This window comes from Homo sapiens, chromosome 3 (genome assembly GCF_000001405.40).
Source record: "Homo sapiens chromosome 3, GRCh38.p14 Primary Assembly".
In the NCBI taxonomy this organism is placed as follows: domain Eukaryota; kingdom Metazoa; phylum Chordata; class Mammalia; order Primates; family Hominidae; genus Homo; species Homo sapiens.
In genome coordinates, this window is record NC_000003.12 from 38,556,165 (window position 1) to 38,570,450 (window position 14,286).

General features: G+C 49.1%; 1 protein-coding gene across 9 annotated transcripts in view; it reads right to left on the reverse strand.

Annotated features, from left to right (window-relative positions):
• Positions 1 to 14,286, reverse strand: part of SCN5A (sodium voltage-gated channel alpha subunit 5) — a 101,626-nt gene that overhangs the window by 8,103 nt on the left and 79,237 nt on the right. For 7 of the 9 annotated variants that reach the window (NR_176299.1, NM_000335.5, NM_198056.3 and 4 more), the window contains 5 exons: positions 10,245 to 10,418; positions 6,251 to 6,373; positions 3,983 to 4,264; positions 1,067 to 1,120; positions 277 to 414 (listed from right to left, as the gene is read on the reverse strand). Coding sequence is in view for 8 of the 9 variants with exons in the window: in NM_000335.5 (NP_000326.2) it covers positions 277 to 414; positions 1,067 to 1,120; positions 3,983 to 4,264; positions 6,251 to 6,373; positions 10,245 to 10,418 (771 nt within the window). In the remaining variant the exon portion in view is untranslated. The remainder of the gene's footprint in view (positions 1 to 276; positions 415 to 1,066; positions 1,121 to 3,982; positions 4,265 to 6,250; positions 6,374 to 10,244; positions 10,419 to 14,286) is intronic. The other 2 variants (NM_001354701.2, NM_001099405.2) reach the window with 1 other exon arrangement.

The window sequence follows — 14,286 nt, forward strand, 5'->3', positions numbered from 1 at the left end:
CAGCTCTCACCCCAGCTTCTCCCAGGAGTCTCATCTCTTAGGTGGATTAGGGCAGGCATGGGGCCTCCCACCAAAGCCCCTTCTTACGTTCTTACAGGCCTAGGCATGTTACATCCCTGGACACACCCTTCTCCCCACCTCATTCCAGCAGGAGCAAGAAGAGGACCATCCCCAACAGGGAAGGTGAGATGGGACCTGGAGCCTGAGTGGCCCCTCAATCCCCTGGCACCCGGCCCCACCCTACCCAGCCCAGTGGGGAGCTGGTGCTCTACGTATCTTTTTCTTCTGTTGGTTGAAGTTGTCAATGATGACACCAATAAAGAGGTTCAGGGTGAAGAAAGACCCAAAGATGATGAAAATGACAAAATAGATGTACATGTAGAGGTTGTATTCCCACTGAGGCTGCTCTTCATACTGCAAGGGAGAAATCACACAGGGAGATCAGACAGGCTGGGGTCTCGGGGGTCACATGGGGAGGGGTGGGGAGCAGAGGCAGAGGGCTGTCTAGGGGTGTCCATTCTGTGGGAAAGAGGGTGTATCTAGAGGAAGGTCACTAGCCCAGTTATGTGAGTCTGTGGGCCAGAGGTGGGTAGGGATAGAGGTGAGAGGAGTGGATGGTGGCAGGTGAGGACAGCAGACATGCTGAGCTCAGGGCTGGCAGAGTATCAGTGCCTGGCTCCGGCCCTGGGCCAATGGGAGGCTGGAGTACATGGGGACCTCTGTCAGTCTTCACTGGGCTGTCAGTGTGATCGGGTGGGGTGCTGGACAAAGAAGAAGCTTGATTTGTGTCTCTGTTGCTTCCACCCCATCCTCCTGGGGTAAAAGTCAGTAAACTACAGTGAGTTTAATTTGAAAGACATTTGAGAATTCTGGGACTTCTTAGGAGACCAAGCAACCTTGCCCCAGAGCCAGGCTTGGGCATTCCAGAGAGGCTGAACTCCAGAGTGACACGAGATCTTGCCCTTGTGGGCTGGGCTTTCAGATGCAGACACTGATTCCCTGGTGGCCAAGCAACCAGGAGCCTCAGGTGCCTGACTTGGTGGAAGAAGCCACTGTGGCAACCTACCCCCCTGGAGTCCACAGCTGCATACATAATGTCCATCCAGCCTTTAAATGTTGCCTGGGAGGAAAAGACAAGATTAAGACAATCATTTAATTCTGTACCTCGCTTGAGCTTCTTAGGGCTCTGGTCTGGACAGATGAAGCCAGAAGCAAGCTTCTTATGAAAAGCAAGCCACCCCACCTCACCCCTTCAGCAGCATCTAAATGCCTGGGTGGTCAGAGAAAGACCTTGTTTAGCACTAGGGGTGGGGAGGGGAAGCAGCTGAGAAGATGCCCCAAGAAGGCCATGCAGCAGGGAATAAGCTTCTTGATTGAGGCCGAGAGTCTGAGGGGGCTTGCAGGAGGTCTGCCCTTCAGATCCACCCTCATTTCCATTTCTAAAACATCACAGAATCCTGACAGTGATTCTGTCAGGGAGACAGAGGTGGAACTTAGACTCTGTGTTCTAGACTCCAGGGCTGACCTGGTCCCCTTTGTCCTACATGTCAGAGAACCATGTGGCTTCTGCTCCATGGACTTTCAAGGGAAGTTCCCGAAGAATCTCAACCTTCCCTTGTACTTAAGGGGGTTCTTTTGTCAATGGTGTGTTGGTAAATGGTTAACAGCTGACGTCCCAGAAGAAAAGAAAAAACCCTGATTGTTGGTTTGCCAATTTCTCTTGTGTAAATATTCTCACCATGGTCGATTTCAGGTTACCAATGTGAAGTTACTCAATGGAGTTGAGAAGAGATGGAAAAGAGCTTAGCATTATGGTACTCCCACTGTACAGACATAATAGAAGTAAAAAGCCTCAAGAGCATAGATGATAATACTAAAATGTAATGATGAATCTTGAGTATTTATTACCTTTGTTTTAATATCATTTAGTTAATTTTATAAGTTTATAGAATTCAATTTTTTATAATGGCTGTATTTAATAAACAGCTTGCAAAATTTCTGAAAATGTAACAATGAGCTCTTGTGAGCTGGCACAAGCTGGCTCCAGCATACCACACCAAGGGAGTAAAGAGGGAGGCTGAACCAGAGGGGGCCCTAGTGCTGGTGGCATTGTCTGCCCTAGTCTGGGCTGCTATGCAGAAAGAGCCCAAGAGACACGCTTGGTGTGAGACTGACTCCCCAGTGAAGTCTCATTTGTGTTTTTGGCCAAATCCAGTCCTGCCCCGAGCCTTTTTTTTTTTTTTGAGACAGAGTCTCTCTCTGTTGCCCAGGCTGGAATGCAATGGTGTGATCTCAGCTCACTGCAACCTCTGCCTCCCGAGTTCAAGTGATTCTCCTGCCTCAGCCTCCTGAATAGCTGGGATTACAGGCGTGCAACACCACTACCAGCTAATTTTTGTATTTTTAGTAGAGATGGGGTTTCACCACATTGGCCAGGCTGGTCTCGAACTCCTGACCTCAAATGATCCACCTACCTCAGGCTCCCAAAGTGCTGGGATTACAAGTATGAGCTACCATGCCTGGCCCCCAAGCTTCCTTTCTAAGCACAAGCTCAGGTACACAAACTTCCTGTGTCGAAGAATTCTTATGAGGCAGGTAGGGCAGAAGGGGAAGCTGAGGCCGCCCATAGTAGGCAAGCTACTCCAGCTCCCTGTACCAAGAGGCCCTTGCCTATAAAGATAGCCCCGCAAATACTTTGGAAACTGCTGGGGACCACCCAAGGGTATGAGATATTTATGACTGAATTCTTCCCAAACACCGAGTGGCTTTGTCTGGAAAGGTCAGCAGTTCTTAGTCTACAAAAGGAGGCCTTTTCTTCCAAAGTTCTGACATTCTGAGGGACAATTGCAGGAATAGACAGCTCCTTGGGTTTGGTGCTAATCTACCATTCTCCACTAGGCAGTGCAGGGGAGTCTTTGTGGGACTACCACTGGGGCTTAAGGGATGGGTGGAGGTGTGAGTGGATATATAAAGTTTCCAGTGGATATAGAAAGTCTGCTGAGTTTTCCTCTGCTTTGGGGACCAGAGACAGGTGTCTGGGCTTGAGATTGGAACAGCAAGACAAGCAAGTTGCAGCTCTATGCATTGTGGTTCTATTGCATTGGTCAAGGCTAATGGTAGGTTAATTTTATGGAATGTGTGATAATCACTGAAGCCACCATACTCACAAAATCAGTGGAAACCCTAGAAGGATTGTGCGTGCTTAAACATTGCACATCAAAGATGGAAATATATTCTTTTTTTTTTTTTTTTTTTTTTTTTTGATGGAGTCTGGCTCTGTCGCCCAGGCTGGAGTGCAGTGGTGAGATCTCAGCTCACAGCAAGCTCCACCTCCCGGGTTCACGCCATTCTCCTGCCTCAGCCTCCCGAGTAGCTGGGACTACGGGTGCCCACCACCACGCCCAGCTAATTTTTTTTGTATTTTTAGTAGAGACAGGTTTTCACCGTGTTAGCCAGGATGGTCTCAATCTCCTGAACTTGTGATCTGCCCACCTCGGCCTCCCAAAGTGCTGGGATTACAAGTGTGAGCCACTGCGTCTGGCTGGAAATATGTTCTTTTAAACAACACAAGAGCTAACACTATATTTTATAACAGAGGGTGGCCACAGTCACAACTTTGCTAATAGTTCAGTTCCTGAGTAGTCTATGGTCTTTCATTTTTTAATCTGTGCCATCATACTGCCTAACTGATAGCCTGAAGAGATCAACTTGACTACTGGCTGGGAGTCGGTTCTACAGCACCACAGACCATCCCCATACTCTGCAATTTGGAGAACATGGTATCGGTTCTAGAACTGAAAGTCTGGGGATTTCCCAAGGAGCCAAATCCCTGGAGAGTCCTGAGCCTCCTTTGGGCACTGTGATCCTCCTATGAAGATCCAGCATGGCCCCACTGCCCCCTCTTCCTGCCCACATCATGGGTGATGGCCATGCTGCTCAACAGCCATTGGGAGGAAGGAAGTCCCTTCTCTCCAGGACTTACCACCTGCAGAAGGGCCAGGTACCCGGCCCCCACGTTGTCAAAGTTGACTTTCACCTTGGTCCAGTACAATTCTCCGGTCAAGTTCAAGGACTCACACTGGCTCTTGTTGTTCACGATGGTGTAGTTCAAAGGCAAGTCTCCCTCTGTCTGGTTGATGCACCTCCCAAACTTCCCCGCAAAGAGGTTCACGCCCATGATGCTGAAGATGAGCCAGAAGATGAGGCAGACGAGGAGGACGTTCATGATGGACGGGATGGCGCCCACCAGGGCATTGACCACCACCTCAAGTGGACAGAGAAGTGGCTCAGTTCCTGGGGGTGCCCAGAGCACATGCCCTTTTCAAGACCCCCTGCCACCCCAAGAAAGAATGAACTCCCTGGCTGCAGGGGGCTGTGCAGGTGGGTGTGCAGATCCCACACTCAAGGGAGAGGCCAGCTCCATGGCTAGAAGCCCTGGTGGGGAGTGAGGGGAGTGCACCCTAGAGTCTGGTGTGGCTTCAGAACATCTGGTTTCCCTTCTTGGCCCTGCCCTGAATCTGTGTTCTTTAAAATCTGATTTTCACCAAGGTGTGTGCTGATTGAGGATACCAGCAACTTGATGGGAAAGGACCTCTCAAAACATGTCCCCAAGACTGGGTTTCCTAACAATCCCATGAGTCCTTACATTTTTGGAGCTAAATTCTGGTTTATTTTAGGTTGTTGCTATTGGGATGGATGGGACCTCAGTGCAGTGTCTAGAGGGGGTTGTGGCAGTTCTCCAGTGCTCCCATAAGAGCAGAGCCAGAAAGCAGGTGGCATGGGTACTCCCTGTGATACCCGCTCCCCAGTGAGGGGCTCTCAGATCCCATGGAGCCACAGCCTCATGCTCTGCATCTAAACTCACAGCACCCTGGAGAAGATTCCCTAATAGAGGCATTTGGGACCCTCCACCCCACTCATGGACCAAGTCCCCAGCTGTCCATGCACCAGGAACACATGTGCCACACAGACTGGAGGTGAAGCTGGTGTGGACTGTGTGGTGTGGGCCAGATGCCAGGTTGGGGGATGCTGTTCCCCAGCAGGCACGCTGAACCCTGGAACAGGGTGGAAAACCCAGCTCTTAGGACACCAAACATCTGGGTGTAGAGTGAGGTGGGGAAGCCCTGGGAGTTTGCCCTTGGCTGGCTCTGTGGCCAATGGCCACCGCAGAGGCATTCCTGGCACCTAGTGTCTCATTGCGTCCCTCTGGAATCAAATGTCCTTGCTCCCAAAGAGACATTTAACTCTGAACATTATCTTGTGGATGGTTTCCCACCAGGAATAAGCTATGTGTGTCTCCATGGATTGGCGGTGTGGGCAAGGTTCAAAGCCATCAACCAACTGGTAGGCTGAGCTGTGTGATGGTGCCTGCTGGGTCAGTGAGAGACAAACAAACATGTCTTCTGAAGCCACACAGAACTGGTATGTTTTGTTAAAAAAAATATCCCACGCAAGTAAACACAAACACACACATGTGTATTTGTTTTCTTGCTATATATCACGGCTGATGTTTTTCTTGGTGCGCTTTCAAGTCTGCCTTATCTGCTCTCATTCTTTGGTAAAATGTGGTGACTTGAAAAATGCATAGGGATCTGCACTAGGAAAATGGTGCACAGGAGATCACTAAGCACGTGGTTATTTCCTCTACAGCCTCTGTCTGATGCTGGGAATGCAGCTTGCTCTATGCCTCTTCCCTCACCCTCCCGACCACAGCCCCTGTCTGATGCTGGGAATGCAGCTTGCTCTATGCCTCTTCCCTCACCCTCCCGACCACAGCCCCACTGGCCATCACAGACAGAGGGCTGGCAGCCTGTGTCTGCCAGGAGGCAGGGCATGCAGAGGGGCACACAGAGTGGGCACACAGAGTGGGCACACAGAGATGCAGCCCTGCAGGACAGCAGAAGCACAGGGGCCCTGGTGCCAGTGGCCTGGGGTGTAGCTGAGACCCCTGTGCCCAGCAAGTCTTGCTTCCTCTCCTTTGTCCGGTGCTCTCCCAGCCCTCATGGGAGCTCACAGGGCTTGAGGGTGAGCCCTGGAGGTGGGTTCTCACAGCTGCCTAGCCTCAGGGTGCCTCCATGCCCAGCTGTGCCTCTCCTGGAGGTTCTGGGCCATGCTCCTACCAAGTCAGCCTCGGCCACAGTCTCCACGGCCATAGGACATCAGAAGCACAGGGAGGGGTCCTGGGTGGCAGTGGGCTGGGCCTGTGGGACCGCCTCCCACTCCCTGGTGGGAAGGCAGCCACCTCTCTTACCCTCATGCCCTCAAATCGTGACAGAGCTCTCAGAGGACGGAGTGCACGCAGCGTCCGCAGTGACTTGATGGGGCCCATCTCGGCAAAGCCCAGGGTGTTGGCCACCAGGCTGACCAGAGAGACCTGGGGGAGGCAAAGTAGAAATGGGGAGGATGGGAACAGCTCCCCACTGTTGGGGACAGACAGTAGGCCTTCTGGTCCCACTAAGACGGTGCTGGGTGCGAGAGAGCCACAGGCCTCCTGTGTCCACTCTTTATTAGTCCTGGGGTGGACTGTCATCACAGGCCAGCTCTGCACTGGGCCAGGCTTCCCAGAGCCCAAGCTGGGGCAAGCCCAAGAGTATCCTGGCTTCTGGGCCTTTACTGAGAGGCTGCTATGTGTACTTCACATACATGCTCTGTAATAACCCTACTAACCCTGCGATGTTGCGATGCGCCACCTCTATTCTACAGATGGGAAAACTGAATTCCAAAGCCACTCTGCTGGTATGGCAGAGCAGGGACACAAAGCCTGGGCTTTTGGTCTCCACATTCTTTCCTTCAATTCCAATTCTTGGACCTGTCTCCTTCGCCAAAGAAGCCTTTTTTGGGGAAGAAGAGGCAGTCCTGGGTTAAGTAGGAGCAAATAGACAATCGTGGGGCGTTTCCCCAAGGCCAGACTGTGCAGCATTTCAACATCTTCAAAGAAGATGGGGACTGGGTGGCACCAGGAGCCTCAGCTCTCTGTTCCCTCTGCCCCAGCCCCTGAGGGCACTTCCACTCTGTGGATTTTATCCTTCTAAAGCTCCATGGGCATCCACTCCCTTCTTACTTCACCGCTGGCCTGTGATCACAGGCCAAAAATGGCCTGCTGCCTGACCTCCCCTGCAGTCACCATTAGCACCACCCGGGTGCTCAGGCCAGCCTGGGGTTCGGAGAGGCTGGGGGCAGAGGCCTGACTCCCACAGCCTCCTCCCGGGCTTGGCAGCACCAGGGGAGGGAGCTGAGCAAAGAGGCCAGGGGAAGGAAGACACGCCAGACTGATTTCTGTGTTGCCCCCACTCACCCCTCAAGGATGCTGGGCTATTGGCCCCCAATCCTGGAGAGTCGGGGGGCATCTCTCAGGGACCTCTCCTTGAGGGCAGGACCTCCAGAGTGCCAGGTCCAGCTGGTCTGCCTGCCCAGTTCCTAATAGGCTGCCTTGCGGTCTCTGTTCTTTCCAAAGCTTGCCCCGTCTGCCCCGGCGATGGCTTCCCATCTCAGGTGACGGCAACTCCATCCCTCCAGCTGTGCAGGCCACAATTCTTGGCGTCCTCCCTGCCTCCTCTCTGTCTCTGACACCCTGTGTCTAACCCATCAGGATTTCCTGTTGGCTCTGCCTTCAAAATACATCTGAAGTCCAAGTGTTTCTCACCACTTCTACTGCCACCGTCCTGGCCCGGCCACCATCGTCTCTCACTGGATCATGGCCTGAGCCTCCTAACTCTTCTCCCTGCTTCTATTCATCCCTCTCTACCCCGGCCTCCATGACCGAGTGACTCCCTAAAGAAAATCAGTCAGTTCACGGCACTCTTCTGTTCAGAGCCTTCCAATTCCGCCCCCCTACCCCCATTTCATTCTAAATCAAAGGCCATATTTTTTCAAAGGCAGCAATCTGGCTGCATCCCCTGCAATCTGGCCTCATCTCCTGCGCTTCCTTCTGCTCAGTGGCTCTAGCCTCCCTGCATTTCCCCCAGTATGCCAGGCATGCTCCCGACACACGGTCCTTGCACTGCTCTTCCAATCTCTGCTTGGAACGTCTGCCAGACATTGGCCTGGCTAACCCCAACTTCAAACCCGCTCAAATGTGACCAAAGTGCGCCTACTCTGATCATCCTATTTAAAAGTGGTAACCTGCACCTTCCCCTCCACCCCACCCCTTCCCTTCCCAAGTTCTCTTTGCTCCATGGTAGATACCACTTTTTCACATAATGTAAAAGTGGCTTATTGATTATGCTGATTGTTTGTAGCCACCTTCCTCCATGTGGGGAAGAGTTTTTATTTTGTTCCCTAAGATCCCCAGCACCATAACAGTACTTGCACACAGTAGAGACCCAACTGCATTTATTGAAAAATAATGCAGAATTCATCTTGGAAACATCCTTCCCTAGACTCTGAGGCCTGAGACAAACTTTCCCATGAAGCATGCGGATGGGGTAGGGGCACAGCAGCGTGGCCAGTGCCAAGAAAGCTGGATTCCACACCCACTTCCTTCTGCTCAGCCTTGGGCAAGGCCCCTCCCTGCTGTGAGCCTTGGTTGCCTTCTCCACAGGCTCCTTCTCTCTTGGGCCTGAGCAGGGAAGCACTGCCGATTCCCTTTCCCTTGCCTTGGCTCTGAGCTCCCCAAGGTGGCCAGCGGCTGGTGGGTGGGTTTCCCCAGAAGTCTGCGCAGAGTCCCTCTGGCTTGCCTTGTGGGAGACCCTCAGCAGGCCCAACTGCCCAAGATGCTGCAGGAACAGCGGGTCAGGGATCCTCAGGGCTGAGCTGCCAGGATCCCAGGCCCTCCCACAGTCCCTCAATGGGGAGGCCTCAGGGGCCTCTCCTTCATCTCAGGGAGGCTCTGAGGGCTGGGCCAGGCAGTCCAGTGTGTCTAGAGCTCTCCTTGCCCCCCTTCCACCCCAGCACCCCCTCACCCCAGCATTAGCATCCTCTTGGCCACCTGGGGTGATAGGAAGAGGCCTGGACTGCAGGTCCAAGGACCTGGATCTGCGTCTCTGTGCATCCCCTCTAGCCCAAGGCGCTCTGCCACCATGGCCACCCACAGTTTGACCTCCCACCCAGCCTTGGTAGCTTCAACCTGGACTCTGGCCAGGCTTACTGGGGGCTGAGCCTCTGAGTGGGGTATGGAGACTGCACAGGCCTGAGCCTGTTCTGTAACCACAGGAAGGATAGCTCCTGCTGGTATGCAGAACCCGATGTCAAGGCTGGAAGCCATCAGCAAACCCGGCGCCTTCTGGAAAGCCCTTTTCAGTCTGCAGATCCTGACCCCTACTCTGTTTTGTTCGATCCCCTAGAGAGGTCCCTCCACCTGCACCCTTTGCCTTCGCTTCCTTTGTCCTCAGTGAGTGCAAACCCAGGCCTGCCCTGCACCGACCCGTTTCTCTCTGCTTGGCTACTCTCCCTCTTGACTGACGTCAGGCCCCCTGTCAGACCCCTCATTCATGCTGCCTGGCACCCAAATGTGTCTTGGGGCCTGGGTAGCTGTGGGGCAGGGGCTTCACACTCCATCTGCCAACCGGGTGTTCAGAAGCCATGCTGACCTCCTGCCCCAGGCCCTCCTTGGACATAGCCTGGGCAGGCAGCCCTCACAGCTACCTGATCATCTAGGGCAGCAACCCAGAGCCCCTGAGCCAGTGTTCATGGCTTCCTCCTCCTCTGGGGTGACTCCACCCCTGTCTCATCCTCCCCAGTCAGTACCTTCTCCCTGAGCTGGAGGCTCTCCCCTGCCTGCCCAGCATCCCTTCAGTAGCCTTCTCCCCCTGGCATGTGTGCATGGAGGCTCTGAACTGTCCTCCTCGTGTGTGCATGGAGGCTCTGAAATGACCATCTGTCTAGTGGGCCTGATGGACACTTACAGTCTGCTGTGGTGTGTGCTAGAGCACAAGCTTGTCTGCTCACTTCCCTTTCTGGACCCTGAGCCCCAAGCCCCTGCCCTGGCTCACGCCCCTACCTTGACTACTCTTGAACGATCTTCCCTAGAAGCAGGGGCCTAGGTCTCCGCCTGCTGTGGCTCCAAACTGGGGGCTCTAGAGGCAGGACCCTGTCTCCTATTTCTTCTCTTCCTCTGAGCCTGGGAACCTGAGGACAAGGCCTGGGTCACTCAGACTTACGTCCTCCTTCCTCTCTGCCTGCCCCACAGCACTGCTGCGCGCCTCCCCTTCAGCCTACTGGCTCCCACTGGGCCCTCCGCCTCAGCTCCTTCTCCCGCACCGGCAATGGGTTTCTCCTTCCTGTTCCCTTCGGGTGCCCACACTCACGTCTACGATGAGGAAGTCGAGCCAGCACCAGGCATTGGTGAAGTACTTCTTGAAGCCGTAGGCCACCCACTTGAGCAGCATCTCCAGCACGAAGACATATGTGAACATCTTGTCGGCATACTCAAGCAGAACCTTGATGGTCTTCCGCTCCTCTAGGTAGATGTCCTCGAAGGCCTGCAGACAAGGCCAGACAAGGTGGACATGAAGCCTGGACCACTGCCGATTCCACCCTGCACCAGGCACCGTTTCTTTCCATTTTTTCTTTTTTTTTCTTTTTGAGACAGTCTTGCTCTGTTGCCCAGGCTGGAGTGCAGTGGTGCAATCTTGGCTCACTGCAACCTCCGCCTCCCGGGTTCAAGTGATTCTCCTGCTTCAGCCTCCTGAGTAGCTGGGATTATAGATGCCTGCCGCCACACCAGCTAATTTTTTGTATTTTTAGTAGGGACGGGGTTTCACCATGTTGGTCAGGCTGGTCTCGAGCTCCTGACCTTGTGATCCGCCCACCTTGGCCTCCTAAAGTGTTGGGATTACAGGCATGAGCCACTGTGCCTGGCCTAGGCACCGTTTCTGACAACACCTCCCTTCCGGGGAGAGCAGAAACAGGAACTAGATGAGAATGCCTTCCAAGTGGGGCCTGTGCCACGGGCAGGCCATGAGATGGCCTTAAGTGGTAGATGGATAATAAGGTAGAGTGAATGGTGTGACCCCCTCTCCCTTAGCAATGAAGATCAAGTCTGAGTTTTGGGCTAGGCCTTTCTAAAACTTGCCATTTTAACAAGGAGAGAGGGTATGCAGGCTCAGCTCACAGCTTTCTGCTGGAAACAACATAAAATATTTTTGTTTTCACTCCATTTTGCTTTAGCTTTGTTTACTTTATATGGTTACTTGCTTTTTGTGGGAAAAATATTGGTTTCCAATTAATAATAATGATTAAGTTACACTTTACACAACATTTATTTAAATAAGCAAAAACCAGTGAGAGTTGATGTAAAGCTGAATGTTAAAGAAACTATATTAAAAGTCATTTGTAGATGTGGTGTTTAGGAACAACAGGTGTAGATAAAGTCAAATGTCCTGCAATTCTCAGGCTCTAGGAGTCAAAGTTTTCCAAATCCTAGGAGTTGTAAGTCTTTCTCCACCTCCTCATTTCTGCCTCAACTCAAATTCCTGAGCTAACAGAGAAACTCCAGTGGCTCCCAGATGGCTTCTACCTCCAGCCTACTGATTTGTTCCTGTTTCTCTCTCTGTCCAGACTGTGCTATGAGGCTCCTGTCTAGGCAACTGAACACGTCACTAGGGCTCTGGGGGAGCTGCCTCCACCTGCCACTCCTGGGCCTTCCTGTCCGACTTCAGGGCCTCTGTGAGCGACAGTGACCCAAGAGACCAGCGCTGTTGGCACTACTGAGGCATACATATGGCCCACTGAGGCACTGTAGATGGCACAACAGGATAATTCAGGTCCCAAAATGGATTTTGGGAGTTGTTCAAGATAAAAAAAAAGTAGGTGTATTGTATTTTTTTCTGAATATAAAAATGGGTGCATCTTATAAAAATTAAATAATATGGAAATTATAAAAAAGAAAGTAAAAGGCATCTCTAATTTCATGACACCAAAGTAACCACTGCTAACATTTAGGTGAGTATTATTTTTGACAGTGTGTATGTGTGTGCACATACACACAATCACCACAATTTTATGAGACACACTAAATATTTGCCTTGAAATTACTTTCTCCATTAAACAATATGTTGTGAACAGTTATCCACTCAATAATATGAATACATGCAATAATATCTATCACTATTTTAAAAGGCTGCATGATATTTCATTATTTGCATACGCTGCTATTTATTTAGCCAATAACCTTATTAATAATGCACATTTCGGTTCTTTACAGTTTATCCCTAGTGGAAATAAAGTTGCAGTGGACAGGGGATTGTTGAGGATAAATTGGGTTGCCAGGGCAAAGGTGTGCTTTTGGTACAGACTGGGAATGGACCCCTCCGAAGGGAACACCAATTGACACTCCATCTCCGGGGCAGGAAGGGGGCTCTTCTCTACCACCCCACCGACATTGCTGTCATTTCTCCTTTTTCACTTTTCCCAGCCTAATGAAAGAAACTTGTATTTTGTTACATTTTCATTTATTTTATTAGGAGTGATGCTGACATCTTTTCTTTGGATATTTGCCATGTTCCTTTTGGGAATTACCTGTTCATATCCTTTGCCTATTTTTGTACTTGAGTGTCTGGTTTATTTGGGGACATTAACTCTTTGGTAACACCAACCTGGTTTGTGACACCAACCTGCCTTTAAATCTCACTTGCTTTTGTTTACCATACCGAAGTTCCATGTACTTCATTTTCAATTATTATATCATTTTATATGATTATATCATTTATTATAATTTTCATTTAGTAAAATTTTTGATGTTACATTAAGAAAGCGCTTATCTATTCTGAGGCTAGGAAAAAATGAGCTTCTTAAAACAATTTTTGTGGTTTCATTGTTTTACATTACAATTTTAAAAATTAAATATAGTTTGGTAAGGAGTAAATATCCATTTTAATGCTTTTTTTCAGAATGTAGCTCATCAAATGCCCCAACACTTTATTAAATAATCCACTTAAAATCCACTGATTAAAAGTCAACTTTATCATATAGTACATTTCTTTATTTACTTAAATCTACTTCAGATCTGTTTATGTAGTTCTACTGTTCTCTGTCTATTCCTGAATTAGTATCACATGAATTTCCCTGGACATTTAAATAATTTTCAAGATAAACTTTACCAATGTTTCGTCATATTTCCTCAGAAATGTTGAAAGCTTGTTATCGCATTGAATCTATTAATTACTTTAGGAACTAATATGAAGTCTTCCTACCCAAGATGAAGGTATGTTTATCTATTTGTTCTGTTTTATACTGCTTGGCAAAGTTTTACAGTTTTCTTCATGAATCTCTTATGCATTCATTATTATATTTATTCCCAGTTATTTTATGCTTGCAGTGCTTGGCATGTAAGAAATATTTGAGAGATGTTACTTGTGACTAAACGGTTTCTCTTAGGATAATACAATAATAGCAACAATTCTTTGCATATTTATTTCATAACTGGCCATATAATGTTTTAAAAATAGGTTTAAATTCTTTTCTAGGCAATCATATTATCTATAAATAATGACATATTTCTATCATTTTTAACTCTTGCTTTTATACTTGACTGGATTAACTTCAATTATTTTATTTCCCAACTTTTATATCATGTGTTCAATTTTCTTAATTAATTACACTGGCTAGTAATTCAAGACTATTATTAAATAATGAGCAATAGCTAAAAAGGCAAATCATCCTTTTCTTATTCTTCACTTTAATTAAAACGTTTCAAGTGGTTTTACCACCAATGATGATATAAGTTAATTTGAGAGTCAGTTTTTTACTAAATTAAGAAAATATATTTTCTTTCTTTTTTTTTTTTGTCCTTTGGATTCAGTAGTAGAAAACGTATTTTATTTCTATTCTTACCAGAGTTCTGAAAATCAGGCATTCACTGAAATAATTATATGGTTTTTTATCTTTGTCCTATTAATACAAATAGTTTTCCTAATATGGTACTATTTTCACATTTTAGGATATGACACATTTGTCATATGATGTACTCAATCTTTTAAATATATTTCTAGATCCTATCTGCATGTATTTTGTTTAAGATTTTTGCATCAGTATTCAGAAGTATGGAGTATGAAGCATAAAAACTGGCCTAGGTTTTCCTTTTGGTATACTTGAGGTTTTAAAAATCAGCACTATTTAGTTTTTAAAAAAATAATTTCTAGGCCAGGCGCGGTGGCTCACATCTGTAATCCCAGCACTTTGGGAGGCCGAGGCAGGCGGATCACCTGAGGTCGGGAGTTCGAGAGCAGCCTGACAAACATGGAGAAACCCCATCTCTACTAAAAATACAAAATTAACCAGGCATGGTGGCGCATGCCTGTAATCCCAGCTACTCAAGAGGCTGAGGCAGGAGAATCCTTGAACCCGGGA